This window comes from Homo sapiens, chromosome 12 (assembly GCF_000001405.40).
Source record: "Homo sapiens chromosome 12, GRCh38.p14 Primary Assembly".
NCBI classification, from domain to species: Eukaryota; Metazoa; Chordata; class Mammalia; order Primates; family Hominidae; genus Homo; species Homo sapiens.
Genome location: NC_000012.12, coordinates 7,705,857 through 7,727,937, shown reverse-complemented (window position 1 = coordinate 7,727,937; position 22,081 = coordinate 7,705,857). Strand labels below are relative to the sequence as shown.

The 22,081-nt window shown below is 45.3% G+C and overlaps 1 protein-coding gene across 1 annotated transcript, besides 1 other annotated feature; it reads right to left on the bottom strand.

Annotated features, from left to right (window-relative positions):
* Positions 1-10,378: 10,378 nt before the first annotated feature.
* Positions 10,379-16,505, bottom strand: DPPA3 (developmental pluripotency associated 3). Its single transcript, NM_199286.4, has 4 exons — positions 16,286-16,505; positions 12,511-12,755; positions 11,699-11,740; positions 10,379-10,971 (listed from the first exon to the last, which is right to left on the bottom strand). Exons 1-4 carry the CDS (start codon positions 16,365-16,367, stop codon positions 10,861-10,863), a joined length of 480 nt encoding a protein of 159 aa, NP_954980.1. The 5' UTR covers positions 16,368-16,505; the 3' UTR covers positions 10,379-10,860.
* Positions 19,602-20,227: an enhancer, noted in NCBI's record as "H3K27ac-H3K4me1 hESC enhancer chr12:7860307-7860932 (GRCh37/hg19 assembly coordinates)". NCBI's record gives its function as "activates a minimal SCP1, AML or CMV promoter by ChIP-STARR-seq in naive H9 embryonic stem cells {active_cell/tissue: H9 hESC(naive)}" and the evidence as "EXISTENCE:reporter gene assay evidence [ECO:0000049][PMID:30033119]".

Sequence of the window (22,081 nt, the reverse complement as noted above, 5' to 3'; positions counted from 1 at the left end):
TGCAGTACTGATGTCAGTATTTGATGTACTTTCTGTGTTTGGTCAAAAGGTTTTCCATTTCGTTCTGATTTATTACTTTTAGCTGAAAGCAGACTATGCAGCAAGATACACAAGAACACAAGATATCCAAAGAAGGCAGTGTTCTTGCTTAGGTCCAATAAATTACTTGGGCTTCTTGATATTCGTTCAGTCTTGGGCTGGCACCTCACCTCAAGGTGCACAGAGAGGGAGATTAGAGATGATTATTCTCCTGGTTAGCTGGCAAACAGAATTATATTCCTTGTCCTCATATCCCAATAAGTTTTTTTCTTTTTCTTTTTTTTTAGACGGAGTTTCGCTCTTGTCACCCAGGTTGAAGTGCAATGGCACGATCTCGGCTCGCTGAAACCTCTGCCTCCTGTGTTCAAGCGATTCTCCTGCCTCAGCCTCCCAAGTAGCTGGGACTACAGGCCTGCGCCACCACACCCGGCTAATTTTTTCTATTTTTTTTTTTTTTTTTTAGTAGAGACAGGGTTTCACCATCTTGGCCAGGCTGGTCTTGAACTCCTGATCTCATGATCCACCCGCCTCGGCCTCCCAAAGTGCTGAGATTACAGGCGTGAGCCACCGCGCCTGGCCCCCAATAAGTTTTTCTTTGGTTCAAAGTTTCTGTGTATGGATTGCCACCTCAAATGTTCCCCGATTTGTTCTTATTCTTTTTACTGAAGTTCCCACAGGTCACTTTATTTCTAGTATAGTAAAAATACATCATATTTACATCAGAGTAATGCATTGCTCTGGTATAGTGATCAGAATTACAATAAAGCTGGTTCCATCCATGACTACTTTTGTAGATTTTCCCAATATGACTTCCAACTTTCTGAGATTGTGCCCTGATCATCTTGATGCAACAGAATCATTTCATTTCTTCGGCCACTGATTTCTTCACTCTCCTTTAGGATGGGCTATTTTGAAAGAGCTGAACTTGGCCGGGTGCAGTGGCTCACACTTGTATTCCCAGCACTTTGGAAGCCCGAGGCAGGTGGACCACTTGAGGTCAGGAGTTTGAGACCAGCCTGGCCAACACAGTGAAACCTCCTCTCTACTAAAAATACAAAAAAATTTGCCAGGCATGGTGGCGGGTGCCTATAATCCCAGCTACTCAGGAGGCTGAAGCAGGAGAATCGCTTGAACCTGGGAGGCAGAGGTTACAGTGAGCCGAGATCACGCCATTGCACTCCAGCCCAGGCAACAGAGCGAAACTTCATCTCAAAAGAAAAAAACAAAAAGCCAGAAAGATCTGACCTCACCTTAACCACTGTAGGTAGAATTTATCAGTTTAACTCTTACAAATCAACTTAACCAATTCCTCTCATTTGCCCATCCCTATGAGTAGTTTTAAGCCTTGCTTGCAGATTATAATCAGAATCCTAGGGAGCTTTTTAAAAAATGCCTCACCCCAGATATCCTCATGTTTAAGTTTCTGGGATTGAGAACCCCTGATCTACATTTGCTGTTGTGCAATATCATTTCATACACAAGCTCAGCACTATGAGGTGGACACCTCCTGAGCAGATGGGAAAATTACATTTGATAGCCACATTAGTTTCCTGTTCCTGCTGTAACAAATCAACGCAAAATGGCTTAGAACAACACAAATTATTTTTTTCTTTGAGACGGACTCACTCTCACCCGGGTTGGAGTGTAGTGGCATGATCTCAGCTCTGCAACCTCAGCCTCCCAAGTAGCTAGGACTGGCATGCACCAACGTGCCCAGCTATTTTGTATTTTTGGCAGAGATGGGGTTTCGCCATGTTGCCCAAGCTGGTCTCGAACTCCTGGGTACAAGCCATCTACCTGCCTCGGCCCCGCAAAGTGCTGGGATTACAGTGTGGGCCACTGTGCCTGGCCACAAGTTAATTTTTTTTATAGTTCTGGAGGTCAGAAGTCCAAACTGAGACCCAGTTCTCTGAAGTCAGGGAGGCAGCAGGGCTAGTTCCTTCTGCAGGCTGTGAGAGAAAAATCTGCTTCCTTGACTTTTCCAGCTTCTAGTGGCCACCTATATTCCTTGGCTTGTGGCCACTTCATCTGCCTTCAGAGAGCGCCTCTCCAAAATCTCTGCTTCTGTGATCACACTGTCTTCTCTAACTCTGACTTCTCCTGTGTCCCTCTCATAAGGATCATTGTGATTACACCGGGCCCCCTTGGACAATCCTGACAATCTCCCAGACTCAAGATCTTTAAAATAATCACATTTACAAAGTCCTTTTTGCCATATAAGGTAACATTTGCAGGCTCTGGAGATTAGAGTGTGGGCATATCTGAGGGCCATTCAGCATATTACAGTAACTTTTTGTTTGTTGGTTTGAGACAGAGTCTGGCTCTGTCACACAGGCTGGAATACAGTGGCACCATCTTAGCTCACTGCAACCTCTGCCTCCCGGGTTCAAGAAATTCTTGTGCCTTAGCCTCCCGAGTAGCTGGGACTACAGGCACATGTCACCATGCCCAACTAATTTTTATATTTTTAGTAGAGACGGTGTTTCACCACGTTAGCCAGGTTGGTCTCAAACTCCTGGCCTCAAGTGATCCGACCTCCTCAGCCTTCCAAAGTGCTAGGATTACAGGCATGAGTCTGTAATCCTACGCCCAGCCCTTACAGTAACTTTTGACAGAAAGTATACAAGAGTAGAAAGATTAATCAGAATTTCATTGAATTCTATTTCATTTATTTCAAGATACCTAAGTTATAATGTAATATTGAAGCATGAAACCTAAAGTTATATACATAAAGCTTGTTTGATTGAGGAAACTCAACTAAGATATAAATGTGAAATTGTTTTGTTGATTTCAATACCTGCTACCGTTGGGGTCTGTGAAACCCTTTTTTTCCAGCGTAGCAGGTCTTCATTAATGAAATATTAGTCCAGTTCCACGATATTTGGGTCATTTTCAGTTACTGAAACACTTTTGACCAGGCATGGTGGCTCATGTCTGTAATCCCAGGACTTTGGGAGGCCAAGGCAGGAGGATCGCTTGAGCCTAGGAGTTTGATACCAGCCTGGGCAGCATAGCAAGACCCCCATCTCTACAAAAAAAATTAAAAATTAGCTCTGTGTGGTGGTGTGTGCCTTTTGTTCCACCTAGTCAGGAGGCTGACGTGGGAGGATCAGTTGAGCCTGGGAGGTTGAGGGTGTAGTGAGATATGACCATGTCACTGCACTCCAGCCTGTGCTATAGAGCAAGACCTTGCCTCAAAAAAATAAAAAATGTTTAAAAAACCAGTTTATTGGGGTTGGATATGATGAATAAAAAGAAAAAAATTAAAAAAACCTTTCAGTTATTAAGTTTAGAATTTAGAAATATAATACTCTATAATGAAAAAGTAATTTGTAATAAAATATATACTTGACGTGTAAATGTTCACTTTAAATGTTTGAATTATACTTGATTCAAAGCTCTCCCATTCCAGTGATAGTCAGGGGTGGTTTTGGATTCTCAACACTGACCAGCCATCAGTTTCCTCTCTGTGGCAATGGCCTAAAACTTGGCTGTTTCATGGGGTTGCATTGATTGGATTTTAGAGAGCTCTATGGGTGTTGGTCTCTGCCCAGTCCTTTGTCATAAAAATGGAACTGAGGCTTAAACTTTTACTCCATCCCCACAACCTTTTGCTTTTGGGGAATTCTCATCCAGCAGTCCCTTGTTGGGGGAAGGTCATGGGTGGTTACTTACAAGATGGTTTGTGTTCCACCCACTTTCTGAACTGTACTTGCGTCACCAAATGGTGGGAATGCCAGCTGTTTGCAGACACTCTGCCTAGCATCACCCTGCGCTCCTTTCTCACCAACCGGCAGCATCAGGCCTGGCTATCAGGCTCTCTGCTGGTTCAATGGCTCAGCAATTAGATTAGATGTAATCACCAGCTCCAGTTTTATTTGTGGGCAAAGATACTTTGGTCACATCTGATCCTGCAAGGAGGAGGGGGTACATATAAAATGCCCTGCCCTTTCCCAAAAAAAGATAAAGCAGATAGGAATCAGTAACATAAGGTCGGCATTCTCCCAAATGTACTCTCTTATCCTATCGCTAGCCTACTTTTGATAGTGAAAAACGTTCTTGTGTCTGATCTTACAAAACGGTGTCCCTTAGCAAACGCTGCAGGAAGGAAACTGAGCTGGAGTTACTCTGAAACTAAAATGTGACTATGGGTCCTGGTAACCAGGAAATAGGAAAGATCTCATCTACCACCTCTCATTTAGCAAGTTACACACACCATTTCTTCCTGATATTTATTACTAGATTTTCACCTTTTTTTTTTTTTTTTTTTTTTTGAGATGGAGTTTTACTCTTGTTGCCCAGGCTGGAGTGTAATGGCGTGATCTCGGCTCACTGCAACCTCGTCTCCTGGGTTCAAGTGATTCTCCTGCGTCCCACTCCCGAGTAGCTGGGATTACAGGCACGCACCACCACGCCCAGCTAATTTTTGTATTATTAGTACAGACGGGGTTTCACCATGTTGGCCAGGGTGGTCTCGAACTCCTGACCTCAGGTGATCCACCTGCCTTGCCTCCGCCTCTCAAAGTGTTGGGATAACAGGCGTGAGCCACTGTGCCTGGCCAAGACTCTCACTGTTTTGAAAAATAATGGATCTTAAGATAAACTTAATTTTCAATCTCTCTTTTTTTTTTTTTCCTGAGATGGAGTCTTGCTCTGTCGCCCAGGCTGGAGTGCAGTGGTGTGATCTCAGCTCACTGCAATCTCCGCCTCCCAGGTTCGAGCGATTCTCCTGCCTCAGCCTCCTGAGTAGCTGGGATTACAGGCGTCCGCCACCATGCCCGGCTAATTTTTGTATTTTTAGTAGAGATGAGGTTTCACAACATTGGCCAGGCTGGTCTTGAACTCCTGACCTCAGGTAATCCACCCGCCTCAGCCTCCCAAAGTGCTGGAATTACAGGCATGAGCCACTGTGCCTGGCCTCAATCTTATAAGGAATTCAAAAGAATAGAGAAAAGCCCACAAGCATATGAGAAATCTCATTATGGCACAGCACAAATTTGATAAGTGATATATCAAACCAAAGTATCCTTATAACAATTTTTTATTTTTTGAGACAAGGTCTCACTCTATTGCCCAAGCAGGGCCGTGATCTCAGCCTCTCAAGTACCTGGGACCACAGGTGCACACCACCACACCCAGCTAATTTTTTTTATTATTTGTAAAGATGAGGTCTAGCTATGTTGCCCAGGCTGGCATTAAACTCCTGGGCTCAAGTGATCCTCTTGCCTCAGCCTCCCAAAGTGCTGGGAGAGCAGACGTAAGACACTGTGCCCAGCCTATTTTTAATTTATTTTTAGAGAAGGGGCCTCACTATGTTGCCCAGGCTGCAGTGCAGCAGCTGTTCACAGTGTGATCATAGGGCACTACAGCCTCGAACTCCTGGCCTCAAATGATCCTCCCTCCTCAGCTCAGGAGTAGCTGGGTCTACAGGTTTATGTCACCTTGCCCGGCCTAATAATATTTTAAATTAATAAAGTCTCAACAACTTGAAAAAGAAGAATAAAGTTGGAAGACTCACACTTCCTGATTTCAAAATGTACCACAGAGCAAGAGTAACCAAGACAGTGTGATATTGGCATAAAAACAAACATATAGATCAGGCCAGGTGAGGTGGATCACGCCTGTAATCCCAGCACTTTGGGATGCCAAGGTGAGCGGATGGCCTGAGATCAGGAGATCAAGACCAGCCTGGCCAACATGGTGAAACCCAGTCTCTACTAAAAATACAAAAATTAGCCCGGCGTGATGGCACACACCTGTAGTCCCAGCTACTCGGGAGGTTGAGGCAGGATATCGCTTGAACCCAGGAGACGGAGGTTGCAATGAGCCAAGATCGCACCACTGCACTCCAGCCTGGGCAACAGAGCAAGACTTCATCTCAATAAATAAATAAATAAACAAATGTATAGATCAATGTAATAAGCAAATTCAAAAATAAACATTCACATTAATAGTCAATTGATTGTTAACAACTCAATAGGGAAAGAATGGTCTTTTTTTATTTTTATTTTTTATTTATTTATTTATTTTTTTAAGAATGGTCTTTTCAACACATGTTGCTTGGACAGCTAGATAACCATATGCAAAAGAATTAAGTAGGACCCCTATCTAACATCATATAGAAAAATATATGTATATTTTTTAAGTCACAGAAACTTTTATTGGGAAGGAATGAGCTGTAGTAAAGTGACAACCAGTGCATGTGACCAAATGGGTGAGGTGGGGGTACAGGTGGGCACCAAGGGCTGGTCCAAGACCAGAGCTGGTGACCGCTGGGGCCTGATTGTGGGGCCTTGGGCCATAGGCCCTTTGGGCTGGACTGCGTGGGCCAGCAGAAATACAAAAATAAACTCTGGGCCGGGCGTGGTGCCTGTGCTGGGATTACACCTGTAATCCCAGCACTTTGGGAGGCTGAGGTGGGCGCATTGCCTGAGGTCAGGAGTTCCAGATCCGCCTGGCCAATGTGGTGAAACCCCGTCTCTACTAAAAATACAAAAATTAGCTAGGCGAGGTGGCAGGCACCTGTAATCCCAGCTACTCGGGAGGCTGAGGCAGGAGAATTGCTTGAACCCAGGAGGCGGAGGTTGCAGCGAGCCGAGATTGCACCATTGCACTACAGCCTGGGCTACAAGAGCGAAACTCTGCCTCAAAATAAATAAATAAATAAATAAATAAGTTGCCTTTTGAACCCCTGGGGTCCTCTAGCCCATTTCCTCCCTTCCTATCCCTTCCTACCCCTTTCCCGCTTCCTATCCCTTCCACATCTTCCCCCCGGCCCCCAACACTACACCTGACTAATTTATTTTTTGTTTGTAGAGACTAGGATCTCACTATGTTGCCAGGCTAGTCTCGAACTCTTGGCCTCAAGCAAATCTCTGGGCTCAGCCACCAAAAGTGCTGAGATTATAGGCATGAGTCACCACATCTGGCCATAAATTTCTTGAATTTTATCCTTCTACTGTGGTTATATAAGTCAATATTCTTGTTCTAAGAAAACACAAACTATTTTGGGATGAAGTGTTATCTGAAATTTACTCTCAAATATCTGTTTAAAAAGAGAAAATATAGAATGTTAAATGAAATGTGGCTAATGCTAACAATTGTTGTATCTAGGTAAAATGTACACACAGGTTTATGAGCTTAAGCTTGCAACTTTATGTAGTTTGAAATTTTTTTAAAAAAAGTTTAAAGTAAAACAAAAAATGTTGAGTGAACAGCAAATAGAGAAATTAACAGCGTTAGCCTGGGCAACACGGTGAAACTCTGTCTCCTCAAACAATACAAAAAATTAGCCGGGCATTGTGGCTCATGCCTGTAGTTCTAGCTACTCAGAAGGCTGAGGTGGGAGGATTGCTTCAGCCCGGGAGGTGGAGTTTGCAGTGAGCCAAGCCTCACTACACTCCCAGCCTGGGCAACTGAGAGAGACCCTGGCTCAAATAAGTAAATATAGAAAAAAAACAACTTTCATATATTACAACCAGTTGAAAAATGTAATGGCAATATTTTAACACACCATAATATAATCTGAAGAGGAAGATATCTGTAGAAAGTACGACTTGGGCCAGGCGCAGTGGCTTACGCCTGTAATCCCAGCACTTTGGGAAGCCGACACGGGGAGAGGTCAGGAGAATTGCTTGAACCCAAGAGGCGGAGGTTGCAGTGAGCCGAGATTGCACCATTGCATTACAGCCTGGGCTACAAGAGCAAAACTCCATCTCAAAAAAAAAAAAAGAAGAAAGTACCGACTTGGCTTAGCTGACTTCCATCTCGGATAAGCCACTTCTTATGTAACTTTGAGCAAGTTCACTACTTTTGTGCTTTTTTTTTTCTGTAAAATGAAGACACCGAAAGTGACCTATCTCAGAAGTTTTGAGGTTTAAATAAGCTAATGCACGTAAAATCCTTAGAATAATGCCTAGCACTCAATAAATGTAAACTGGGAGCATAAAGATTCAGGGCAACTTGAACTGATGCTCTCAGCAGGAAATACATGAAAGGAAGATATTATTATAGAAAGGTTTAAAAATATACCTAAATACTAGCCAGGCGCGGTGTCTCATGCCTATAATCCCAGTACTTTGGGAGGCCAAGGCAGGCAGATTGCCTGAGGTCAGGAGTTCGAGACCAGTCTGGCTAACATGGTGAAACCCTGTCTCTACTAAAAATACAAAAATTAGCTGGGCGTGGTGGCACACGCCTGTAGTCCCAGCTACTTGGGAGTCTGAGGCAGGAGGATCGCTTGAACCTGGGAGGTGGAGGTTGCAGTGAGCAGAGATGGCACCACTGCACTTCAGCATTGGTGACAGAGCGAGACTGCATCTCAAAAGAATACGAAAGGACATGTGACATGTAGAATTAATGTTTTCATTAATTTACAAATTTAACATGATTGCAATAAAAATAAGTTGCCTTTTTTAACTAGTCAGTGATTTTCAAGCTCATACAGAAAAATAATAAAAGTTAGCTTTGCTACTAGGAACGATTTGTAAGTTATAACAAATGCTCTGCCGGGCACAGTGGCTCATGCCTGTAATCCCAGCACTTTGGGAGGCTGAAGTGGGTAGATCATCTGAGGTCAGGAGTTCGATACCACCAACATGGTTAGACCCTATCTGTACTAAAAAATACAAAATTATCTGGGTGTGGTGGCACATGCCTGTAATCCCAGCTACTCAGGAAGCTGAGGCAGGAGAATTGCTTGAATATGGGAGGCAGAGGTTGCAGTGAGCTGATATTGCGCCACTGCCCTCCGGCCTGGGCAACAAGAGTGAAACTCCATCTCAAAAAAAAAAAAAAAAAAAAAAAAAAAGAAATATAACCAATGCTCAATCTGCCCCACATTTGTCCTTGCTGGTAGACCATGTTAAATTTAGTTCTTCAGTGGGGTAACTTCTGATGACCAAACTTGGCAGTGTGGTCCTGCACTCCAGCCTGGGCAACAAAGTGAGACCCCATCTCAAAAAACAAAACAAAAACCACAAAGAAATCACTGGATAGCATCTTCTTGGGTTATTACATATCATGCAGATATCCTTTCCAATTCTCCCTGTGATATTATAAAACATATTTGTTCTTAGTCACCATTTCCTGTCATATAGCTCCTAAAATCTTCAAAATCTCTGGAGTGATAACTTTTGTATGCTAATGGTGACTGCTTTGCTGGGGGCTCCAAGATACCCTCAGGATGTGGGCAGGTTGCCAGGAGAAACCACCAAGTGATTGGAGGGTTGAAAGTTTCACTCCCATTCCGGGACCTCCAGGGGAAGGGACAGGGGCTGAAGGTTGAGTTGATAAACCAATGGCCAGTGATGTAATCAATCATGCCTACCTAATGAAGCTTCCCTAAAAACACAAAAGGAGTTCTGAGGGCTCCTGGACAGTTTCACACTCCTTAAGGGTGGTTCACCCTGCTTGTCTTTTCTCCTATACCTCGCCCTATGCATCTCTTCCATCTGGTTATTCATCTGTATCCTTTGTAATATCCTTCACAATAAGTAAGGTGTTTCCCTGAGTTCTATGAGCCACTAGAGCAAATTAATCAAACTCAAGCAAGGGGTCGAGGGAACCCTGATTTGTAGCTGGTCAGTCAAAAGCACAGGTAAGACAACCTGAAGCTTGTGATTAGCATTAGAAGTGCAGGCAGTCTTGTGGGACTGAGCCTTCAACCTGTAAGATCTGGAGCTATTTCCAGGTAGACAGTGCTGGAATTGAATTAGACACCCAGCTGATATCTATGGCAGAATTGCTTGCTTGGAGGCCAGGTGCCGTGGCTTACACCTGTAATCCCAGCACTTTGGGAAGCCAAGGCAGGCAGATCATCTGAAGTCAGGAGTTCCAGACCAGCCTGGCCAGTATGGTGAAACCCTGTCTCTACTAAAAATACACAAATTAGCCAGGCGTGGTGGCAGGTGCTTGTAATCCCAGCTACTCAGGAGGCTGAGGCAAGAGAATCGCTTGAACTCAGGAGGCGGAGGTTGCAGTGAGCTGAGATAGTGCCATCACACTCCAGCCTGGGCTACAAGAGCGAAACTGTCTCAGAAAACCAAACAAACAAAAAAGAATTGCTTGCCTGGTGTGAGGACCCCTGCATATTTCCTATCAACAACGTAGTAAGCTCCACTTCTGTTCTACCTCCTTCCAATTTTCACATCTCTAATGGGAAGTTGATATTTGCAACTATCTGTGCCTGTGTTTTCCAATCTCACCCAAATGTACAATGAAGTTTCTTCCCAGTGGGAAGATATAAAATATTAGAATGCCAGATATTTACATTCTAGAAATGTAATAAAACTATTGTTCATCTAATTGTTAGTAAGAAAAAGAATAAAATCAAGAACAATTTTTAAAAGGTACTCAAATGTCAACTTTATTGTTTCTATATAAACACTTTTGTACTGAAAACTGTAAAAATAACAAAGTTTGCTGTGATTGCAATCCAAATTTTTGAAAGCCAGAAAATCTAATTATGCTATAGCCCAACTACCTAATGCTTTCTTTATCCATAAGTAACTTTGCTTCAATTTCTTGATGTTGGGTTTCATCTCACTGACTTTGGGCTTCTAAGACACATGGGAATACTTATATCATCTTGGCTTCTTTGGGTCAAATCAAACAGTAGAGCTAAAGTTATTCAAATACATTCAGATTACACAGATCCCTTATGAATTACTAGTATCATAGTAGGAAGAAAAAGATACAAGAAAAATACATCCTAGAACTCATTATCAAAATTATTGGTGTATAGTCTATACTAGCATAGAGTAGCTTTCTCAACCTGCTATATAAAATTACTACCAAGAAAAAAAGGTGCAAGAATAAGATTTATGGCTGAAGTGGCTTGGTGTCTTGATTCCCTATTCTAGCATTCTCAGAAGGATCCCATCCATTAGACACGCAGAAACTGCAGGGACATTTGAATGGTCTTGATTCCTTCTGAAAAAAAATGATGAAATGGATTAATTGGAATATTGTACCCCAGAGAAATGTAATAAGCCCTCAACTATAATGTTGTTTATTTTGGTAAGTGTTGGAACAGGGAACACACACAAAAAAGGACACACGGGCCAAAAGCAAAACATTTTAGGAGAAAAAAAGATCAAAATATGGGTACCACAGAATGGCAGCTTGTGGGTCATTTTGTAATGGTAACAAGTGCAGACTGTCAATAAAACATTCTAGTCTCCGTTCTCTGAATGCCTTAAATGTAACTCATTCTGCTACTAGACACTCTGCTGAAGTGTTTGTCCTCTTACTATACAGTGCTACCGTGAAGATATTTGTGACAGCACGTGAAAGTATCAACCTAACACCAAGAGTGACCCCTAGTGTAAACTATGAACTCTGGATGATAATCCTGTCAGGGTAAGTTCATCAGCTGCAAAGTGTGCAATTCTGGTGTGTGACGTTGACAGTAGAGGCGGCATGTGTGGGGTGTGGGGGAAAGGCTATGAACATAAAACTTCTCTGAAAAATAAAGAATAAAGAATATATTTTTAAAAACTACAAACATGAACTGACTTATCCAGAGTCCCTGGGGATTCAGAAAGTCCAAGCAAATTCCCTAATTCCCTATTCCGGCAAAAGGAAACAAACCAGATACCCATCCACATATATAGCCAAAAAAAAAAAAGGAAAATAAAAAGAAAAAAATTATACTTACCTTAACTCCCTTAGGCTCCTTGTTTGTTGGTCTTCTTTCATGCTTCATGGGAAAAAAATATGTTTATTGAAAACTATCAAGAAAAAGATTACTAATATTACACATCTATATAAGGGAGAGAAGCTAGGGAATTTGTTGAGACAGGGTCTTTCTCTGTTGCCCAGGCTGGATTGCAGTGGAGCAATCATGGCTCACTGCAGCCTTAACCCCCCAGGCTCAAGTGATCCAGCTGCCTCAGCCCTCAGCCACCCACCCCACAGCAGCTGGGACTTACAGGCACGCACCACTACACCCAGCTAATTAATTTTTTGTAGAGATGGCTGATTTTATTAATTTTTTATATTGCCTAGGCTGGTCTGGAACTCCTTGAGCTCAGGTGATCCTCCCACCTCAGCCTTCCAAAGTGCAGGGATTACAGACGTGAGCTGGGAGTCTTTTTTTGAGACGCTTGTTTTGTTCTTGTTGCCCAGGCTGGAGGGCAATGGCACAATCTCGGCACACTGCAACCTCCGCCTCCAGGGTTCAAGCAATTCTCTAGCCTCAGCCTCCCAAGTAGCTGAGATTGCAGGTGCCCACCACCAGGCCCAGCTAACTTTTTGTATTTTTAGTAGAGACAGGGTTTCACCATGTTGGCCAGGCTGGTTTCGAACTCCTGTCCTCAGGTGATCCACCTGCCTCAGCCTCCCGAAGTGCTCAGATTACAGGCCTCAGCCACCGCACCGGGCCTAGAGCTAGGGAGTCTTAATTAGGTCTTAATTTATGAGTGTCACTCTCCGGAATTGGACAGCCCCGGCCACATCACATCAACATACCGTACGAACTCCGCCGAGTAACATGTATCTCAATCTTGCCATCTTTTCTCTCTGCACAGACAGCAATGTTCTTACTCCTCTCCTGCTGTAAAGCCACTCATCTTCGATTTCCCTGAGGACTGCTGCTCCTACAGACTCTCGACGGAGTAAAGCTTCCGATAGAGGGGAAACAGATTCGCTACTAGCGTTGATAGTCAAGTTACTAAGGTTCTTTATCAACGTCTCGGAGGAGATTTGAGAGGCCCCTGAAAGAGAAGGTTAAAAGCCATTACATTAAGGGGATCTTCAACATTCACACATCAACTAGGTCTGCCCTTAAGCAGGGGAACAGGGCGCTGTGTGGGAAATTCCTCAGGGTGGAAGGTCACAGTAAACAACGCACAACCTCTAGTCTTTTCTCAAAAATCGCAAAGTTAGCCCAGCGCGGTGGCTCACGCCTGTAATCCCAGCACTTTGGGAGGCCGAGGCGGGCAGATCATAAGGTCAGGAGATCGAGACCATCCTGGCTAATACGGTGAAACCCCCTCTCTACTAAAAAATACAAAAAATTAGCCGGGCGTTGTGGCGGGCGCCTGTAGTCCCAGGTACTTGGGAGGCTGAGGCAGGAGAATGGTGTGAACCCAGGAGGTGGAGCTTGCAGTGAGCCGAGATCGCGCCACTGCACTCTAGTCTGGGGGACAGAGCAAGACTCCGTCTCAAAAAAATAAATAAATAAAAATAAAAATAGAAATAAAACTACAAAATTAGCCAGGCGTGGTGGTGGTGCATGCCTGTAATCCCAGCTACTCGGGAAGCTGAGGCAGGAGAATCGCTTGAATCCGGGAAGCGGAGGTTTGCAGTGACCTCAGGTTGCGCCACTGCACTCCAGCCTGGGCAACAAGAGCAAAACTCCGTCTCAAAAAAAAAGGAAAGTCAAGGCAGGAAGAAGTCACTTGTACAGGGGCACATGATAACACAGTTGACCCTTGAACAACACGGGTTTAAACTTTGGGTCCCACTTACGCGAGAATTTTTTCCAACCAATCACAAAATTCGAAATCCCCACACACACTGTTAACCTTTTTCACAAGGTTTCGCAGGGCCCACTGTGGCACTTGATCACTTACAGATTTTGGGGATGTCCTGGAACAATTCCCAGAGTATAACCGAGGGATGACTGTAATCCCTTGTTTTCTAGACTGTTATTATTATTATTATTAAGACGGAGTCTCGCTCTGCCTCCCAGGCTGGAGTGCAGTGGCGCCATCTCGGCTCACTGCAAGCTCCGCCTCCCGGGTTCACGCCATTCTCCTGCCTCAGCCTCCCGAGCAGCTGGGACTACAGGCGCCCACCACCATGCCCGGCTAATTTTTTTCTATTTTTTAGTAGAGAAGGGGTTTCACCGTGTTAGCCAGGATGGTAGACTGTTATTTTTTGAGACAGGGTCTTGCTCTGTCACCCAGGCTGGAGTGCAGTGGCACTATCATGGCTCATTGCAGCCTCTACCTCCCAGGCTCAAGGGATCCTCCCACCTCAGCGTCCAGAGTAGCTGGCGCTACAAGCGTGTCCCACACGCTGCCCTGAGCTAGCTTTGTTCACTTACACTTAAGAGATCCACTGAGTATCTCACAAGCATTACCTACCGTACATTCTGTGGAATCTTGTGAAAGAGACAAGAAAAACCCATATACTATTTTCTCCCAGAATCCTCATCCTTAAGCAAAACTGGGCAGTCGAAGTAAGTGGCTGTTACCCTCTCCAGTTAGCCCTAATTTAGTTGCCCAGCTCCTTCATGGTATTAGATCTCTTCACTCAAACTCTATTTTGGGAAATCAACCACTCATTCTCGTCTCTCCCATCCGAACTGTGAGGCGTATCCCATACATACGCATATCTCATACAATAAGAAGGTTATCGTTAACTGCCCGTGTATGTGTGTTTTGTTTTGTTTTTTGCCCCCTATATGTGAAAGTATTAAACAATATCAAAGTTCGAGATCGATTCTCAAAGTCTAGGGACCTGTGCACATAGAAACGAGGATCCTTTGTGGAACTGTGAGGTACTAAGGCAGACGCAAGGAAAGGGAGAGACTGGGGGTACGTTCATTTTTCTTTCCCACTCGGATATATAGACCAGCATTCTTTCTTCTGGACGCAGGGGACACAGCTAAGACCAGGCGCAGAGGGCGTCAGCGCGCCAGCGGCCCAGTTCCCAGACCTCCCAGCATCGGGCAGTCGAAGGTGTTGGCTCCAGGGTTTCTGCCGCCACCACCCTAGACACCCAGCCCCGCTGTCAGGGTCATAAATAAGACTTCAAACCACGTGGAGGGCCTCTGTGGCCAAGCCCGCGCTTGGGTGCTGCTGTAAGAAAGGAGTTCTCCACCGGAAGACCCGGCCTATCAGGGAGCAGAATTACCCAAGCAGTTTCTAGATAAGCCGCCCTCCGGTGGAGGTCCTGCTACTAATTTACATTACGGAGCACGTTTACGGCCTCTCCCTTCCATTTTCCCAGTGAAGCTGTTAGTCTGTTTATTAACATTTAGCTGGAAAGCCTGTCTCAAAAATGTTGGCTTAGAGCCCGGACTCGGTGGCGCACGCCTGCAGTCCCAGCTACGCAAGAGGATGGACTGAACCCAAGTGTTCGATACCAGCCTGGGCAACATGGAGAGACCCACTGTCAAAAATAAAAATAAAAATAAAAATAGGACGGGCGCGCTGGCTTACGCCTGTAATCCCAGCACTTTGGGAGGCAGAGGTGGGCGGATCACGACGTCAGGAGATCGAGACCAGTCTGGCCAACATAGTGAAACCCTGTCTCTACTAAAAATACAAAAGATTAGCCGGGCGTGGTGGCACATGCCTGTAATCCAGCTACTTTGGAGGCTGAGACAGGAGAATTGCTTGAACCCGAGAGGCGGAGGTTGCAGTGAGCCGACACCGCGCCACTGCACTCCAGCCCGGGCGACAGAGACTCCGTCTCAAAAAAATATATAAATAAAAATAATGTTGGCGAGAGATTAAGAAAAACTTTAGGTTCAACTGAAGTTAAAGTTTCTCATATTGTTTCATTTTTTTTCCCTATCTTTTGTTTATTTGGTCTCTGTATTTGTTCCTTTTTACCGTTCCTGACATGTATTTGCTGTTGGGGAAGATACTGATGCAACGACGCTACGAGCCGCGTTCTGTGATTCCAATTATTTATCCCCAGAAACTGGTCTTAGAAATCTGAAGTACTGGCCGGGCGCAGTGGCTCAAGCCTGTAATCCCAGTACTTTGGGAGGCCGAGGCGGGCGGATCACGAGGTAAGGAGATCAAGACCACCCTGGCTAACACGGTGAAACCCCGTCTCTACCAAAAATACAAAAAAAAAAACGGGCGCGGTGGCGGGCGCCTGTAGTCCCAGCTACTTGGGAGGCTGAGGCAGGAGAATGGCGTGAACCCAGGAGGCGGAACTTGGAGTGAGCCGAGATCGCGCCACTGCACTCCAGCCTGGGCGACAGAGCAAGACTCCGTCTCAAAAAAAAAAAAAGAAAAAAAAAGAAAGAAATCTGAAGTACTCCTAAGCATAGTGAATAAAATAATACATTTCTCACCACCACCATCACCGCTTTTAATAAAGTCTTTGACCTCTCTGTGTTGACTCCCTCTGGTTTGAGGTTTACCTAAATACATTCCTCTTGCAAAGACTGAAGTCAACATTAAAAAAAAAAAAAAAAAAAAAAAAAAAAAGACGGCAGCCTTTTGACCTCCCAACCCCCCTATAGTCAGATAGTCAAGAAGGGCATTATCTGGCTTACCTGAATCGTCCCGGGAATTTTCTTCGGTGAGCATTTGTGGAGACCCTGGGATGTAGGTTGGATTAAACTGTGATGGGTCCATCGGCGTCTTGACACAACACTAGGCTTCTCCAGGATCTTTGAAACGTAGCAGAAACTGATGACAGAGCCTCAAATTGCTACCAGGTAGCCCGGAAAGAGGCTGAAAACCGGAGCTCCAACGAATGGTCAAAGAACTGACGTAAACTATAGGTCCGGCTTCCTTTTAAAATACAGATAAGCCAATCTTCCAGGATATTTGAATGTTAATGATCCCATGATTAGAGGATTAAGGGATCCAAATGATTAAAGGTGAATGGGTGTAGTTTAGACTCATAGGGTAGTTCTTCATCTGCTTTGCATTAAAATAATCTGTCGGATGTCATATCTGCTAGAAAATTTATTAAAATCCTCTTTTTGTGGTTCTGTCTCCCTGAGGTTGCCTTACATATAAGTTGTTTTTTTCTTGTTTTTTTTTTTTTTTTTTTTTCCCAAACTCTACTCCTGGAGATGGCTTCTGTTTTGTGAACTGGGCTTAAGTGTTCTAGTGCAGAGGAGAATGGCAGTTTTTACCGCCCCCGCCCCACCACCACCACTGCCCATAAACTCCCAATTAAGCTGAGAAAGTTTCCTTTAAGTTTTCCTTGCTTCAATCATCTTAAACCTTTGCTGCTACTAAGAAGAGAGGAATAATGAAGAAGTATCTGTTATGAACACTTTCATAGCTTGATATTTTAGGGACATGTATTTTTTATTTGTTAATTTGCTTTATAAACTATAAACAGTACCTAACATTTCTGAGCAGCTGAAATTAACTAACCTTACAAATTGCTACTCCCTCCCCACAAAAAAATGCTTGTATTTGTAGCAAAGCACAACAACATTTAACCACTGATTGTCTGCAGGAGGTGGAAGAACAAGTCCCCAGCTGCCCCTCTCATCTTTTTCCCGTCTTATTCAAATACGCACGTTCCCCCATTCCCTCTCTAGGTGGAAACCACGAGAAAATACTCAAAGGCAACCTTGTTTGGGTTTGGTAAAAAGCAAAAATTGAAGTTATGATTAAGAAATATTTTCATAGAGAATGAGCAGCCATAGGCATAGATCATGTCCCAACACTTTATGCAAGTGATTCTCAAAAGTGTGGTCTCCAGGATCGCTTAATCACCCAGCAGTTAAAGGCTGCAGTGACCTATGATCGTGCCACTGCACTCCAGCCTGGTAGACAGGGCAGGACCCTGCCTCTTGGGAAAAAAAAAAAAGTGCAGTTTACAACAAGCACCTAGTTAACTTAGATATACAAATTCTGAGCTCCAAACCAGCCCTACTGAATCAAAGACTGGCGCCCAGTGGTAATGCTTTAACAAGCCTCCCAGGCAATTCTGCATTTAGCCAGAAGACCCAGAAGTGATCCCCAGGTGATTCTGATGGGTGCTCAAGTTAAGCAGCCCTGCTTTACGGCACTGTGAACTTTCTACTTCTGTTGTTCAGCTCTTGGCTAATCTCCCTCTTGCCTGGGGAATCTCTGATAATCAGTCCGCAAGAATTTCACTGGAGAGATAAATACAAAAAAATCCCATTGCAGGGGGTTTAGGATTAGGAGGTGAGATAACAAAAAGGGCTGAAATAGACTCTCATTTGTAAAAAACCTAGGCTGGGCACAGTGGCTCACGCCTGTAATCCCAGCACTTTGGGAGGCTAAGGCAGGTGGATTGCTTGAAGCCAGGAGTTCGGGACTAACCTGGCCAACATGGTGAAACACTGTCTCCACTAAAAATACAAAAATTAGGCCAGGCACAGTGGCTCACGCCTGTAATCCCAGCACTTTGGGAGGCCGAAGTGGGCGGATCACAAGGTCAGGAGATCAAGACCATCCTGCCTAACACAGTGAAACCCCATCTCTACTAAAAATACAAAAATTTAGCTGAGCGTAGTGGCAGGCGCCTGTAGTCCCAGCTACTCAGGAGGCTGAGGCAGAAGAATTGCTTGAACCCAGGAGGTGCAGGTTGCAGTGAGCCGAGATCATGCCACTGCACTCCAGACTGGGCAACAGAGCAAGACTCCATCTCAGAACAAAATAAATACAACAATTAGCCGGGCATGGTGGCAACCACCTGTAATCACAGCTACCCAAGAGGTTGGGGCAGGAGAATCACTTGAATCTAGGAGGTGGAGGTTGCGGTGAGCCAAGATCGTGCCACTGCACTCCAACCTGGGTGACAGAGCAAGACTCAGTCTCAAAAAAAAAAAAAAAAGACAAATAAAAAAGAAAAGAAGCAAATTAGAAGGATGAGGAACCAAATTTGAAATATGTTAATACATGAGAAGGAAGAGGAAAAAAGCCACATCTGCACGTTAGAAGTCAAGCAAGGATGCCTAAATGGAAAAAATCAAGACATATCATTACAAACTTGCTCTATAGACCAGGCACGGTGGCTTATGCCTGGACTCCCAGCACTTTGGGAGGCCAAAGTGGGTGGATCACCTGAGGTCAGGAGTTCGAGACCAGCCTGGCCAACATGGTGAAACCCCCGTGTCTACTAAAAGTACAAAAATCAGCCAGGCGTGGTGGTGCATGCCTGTAGTCCCAGCTATTTTGGAGGCTAAGGCAGAAGAATTGCTTGAACCCAGAAGGTAGAGGTTGCAGTAAGCCGAGATCATGCTATTGCACTCCAGCCTGGGCAACAAGAGTGAAACTCCATCTCAAAAACAAAACAAAACAACAAAAAAACTTGCTCTACAGAAATACACAAAGGCCGGGCGTGGTGGCTCCCGCCTGGGATCCCAGCACTTTGGGAGCAGATCACTTGAGACCAGGAGTTTGAGACTAGCCTGGCGAACATGGTGAAACCCCACCTCTGCTAAAAATACAAAAATTAGCCGGGTGTGGTGGCACATGCCTGTAGGCCCAGCTACTGGGGAGGCTGAGGTGAGAAAATTGCTTGAACCCGGGAAGCAGAGGTTGCGGTGAGCCCAGATTGCGCCACTGCATTCCAGCCTGGGTGACACAGTGAGAGGCTCTGTCTCAAAAACAAAAACAAAAAAAAGAAAAGAAATACACAAATGCCCCCCAAAAGCCATCCATACCAAAGTTTAAAGTGGGTGCTTATAGGAAAAAGAAAATGAAAAATGCAACAGAGGACGGCAGTTGGGACATGTGTCTGTTTTAAGAAACTTAGAACTATGTGCTACTTTATAGTATATGCACATACAACTTTTTGAATTTAAAAAAGTGGGGGAAAAAGGGGTAAAGGGGCCAGGCACAGTGGCTTATGCCTGTAATCCTAGCACTTTGGAAGGCCAACAGAGAGGCCAGGAGTTTGAGACCAGCCTGGCCAACGTGGCAAAACCCCATCTCTACTAAAAATACAAAAATCAGCGGGGCATGGTGGCATGTGCCTGTAATCCCAGCTCCTTGGGAGGCCGATGTGGGAGAATCCCTTGAACCAGGGAGGGCGAGGTTGCAATGAGCCTGGATGGGCCACTGCACTTCAGCCTGGGCAACAGAGCAATACTCTGTATCAAAAAAAAAAAAAAAAAAAAAAAAAAAAAAGGTGGGGAAGGAAAGAGGGGAGTAAGAAAAAGAAAAAAATGGGGGAGAAAACAATTATCAGCTGTAAAACACATAAGAGAAGGGGAAAGGGGAGCAAGAATGAACATAGGGAAATCCACAAGAACATTGCATTGAGTCTGGATGAGTAATGAAAATTATTTAAGTGTTTAATGATACATGGTAAAGAGTTATAATTTTAAAAAGTTCGTAAGTTCAGTTATGAAAATCTGTTATGTGTATAGAGGAAACAGGGCTGGGCCTGGTGGTTCAATCCTATAATTCCAGCACTTTGGGAGGCGGAGGCCGGAAGATCACTTGAGCCCGGGAGTTCAAGACCAGCCTTGGCAGCATAGTGAGACCCCTGTCTCTACAAAAAATACAAACATTAGCTGGGCATGGTGGCTCGTGCCTACAGTCCCAGCTACTCTGAAGGCTGAAGTGGGAGCAGAAATTCCGCCTCCCAGGTTCAAGCGAGTCTCTTGCCTCAGCCTCCCGAGTAGCTAGGATTACAGACATGAGCCACCATGTCCAGCTAATTTTTTTTAGTAGAGACAGGGTTTCACCATGTTAGCCAGGCTGGTCTCGAACTCCTGACCTCAGGTGATCCACCCGCCTCAGCCTCCCAACGTGCTGGGATAACAGGCGTGAGCCACCGTGCCCAGCCTCATACCTGACACTTCTATAACAGAAGACAGATTAACAAGAGGTAAGCATAACAAATTTATTTAAACGTATTTTAAGTGGACCGACCATGGCGGCTCAGGCCTGTAATCCCAGCACTTTGGGAGGCTGAAGTGGGAGGATCTCTCGAGCCCAGGAGTTTGAGGCCAGCCTGAACAACAAAGCGAGGCAAGGTCTCCCCCAAAAAATGTAAAAATTAGCTGGGGCTGATGGCACAGGCCTGTGGTCCCCGATATGGGTACCCAATACGGGTCACTGAGGCAGGAGGATGGCTTGAGCCCAGGAGTTGAAGGCTGCAGTGAGCTATGATTGCACCATTGCACTCCAGCCTGGGCCACAGAGACCCTGTCACAAAAATATATATTTTTTTGACCTCCCATTTTGAAACAAATTCATATATATATACATACACACATGTATATGTGTGTGTGTGCGTGTATGTGTGTGTATGGTATTCCAGAGAGGGAAAGCCTGGTAAGGGGAAGATGAGGGCTGCTATTTTGGAAAACCCTACCAACATGCAGCTATTTTTCTTTCTTTTTTTTTTTTTTTGAGACGGAGTTTCGCTATTGTTGCCCAGGCTGGAGTGCAATGACACGATCTCGGCTCACCGCAACCTCCGCCTCCCAGGTTGAAGCGATTCTCCTGCCTCAGCCTCCTGAGTAGCTGGGATTACAGGCATGCGCCACCACACCCGGATAATTTTGTATTTTTAGTTGAGACGGGGTTTCTCCATGTTGGTCAGGCTGGTCTCAAACTCCCGACCTCAGGTAATCCTCCCGCCTCGGCCTCCCAAAGTGCTGGGATTATAAGCGTGAGCCACCGTGCCCGGCCCGCTATTTTTCTTTTCTTTCTTTTTTTTTCTTTTTTTTTTTTTTGTTTTTTGAGATGAAGTTTCGATCTTGTTGCCCAGGCTGGAGTGCAGTGGCGCCATCTCGGCTCACTTCAACCTCCGTCTCCCGGGTTCAAGCAACTCTCCTGCCTCAGCCTTCTCAGTAGCTGGGATTACAGGCACGCGCCACCACGCCCGGCTCATTTTGTATTTTTAGTAGAGACAGGGATTGCTCCATGTTGGTCAGGCTGGTCTGGAACTCCCGACCTCAGGTCATCCGCCCGCCTCGGCCTCCCAAAGTGCTGAGATTACAGGCGTGAGCCACCGCGCCCTGCCGACACGCAGCTATTTTACTTAAGCTCTTTCCATGCTTTCTAACCGTGGCGGCCCGGGCCTCCCCCGGGCCTGTCCCTTTGCCCCGGCAGCCCCACCCCAACGCTAGCCTCTCTTTGCATTCGTTCTCACTCTCCACCCTAGCATATGTGCGGTTCAAACCGGACGTTTCCACCTGGCTTTGAAGGTTACCCGCCTTGCATTCCTGCAGTGGAAGCCCAAGGGGGCACGACGGAGTCGAGCAGCCCCGCTGGGGTGGGGCGGGAGGGTCCGGAGCTCACCTAGGCGGGACGCCGCGGGGCGTGTGAGCAAAACAACTCCTGGCGTCCACGCCTCCTCCTCACCTCCCGCAGCCCTCAGTTGCCTTCCTCTCCAGGAA

Coding starts and splice junctions, on each gene's coding strand:
- DPPA3 (NM_199286.4), bottom strand. CDS start 16,367: ATGGACCCATCACAGTTTAATCCAACCTACATCCCAGGGTCTCCACAA. Junction 11,741..12,510: donor TACTCGGCGGAGTTCGTACG/GTATGTTGATGT, acceptor TTTCCCATGAAG/CATGAAAGAAGACCAACAAA. Junction 10,972..11,698: donor AGGAGCCTAAGGGAGTTAAG/GTAAGTATAATT, acceptor ATTTTTTTTCAG/AAGGAATCAAGACCATTCAA.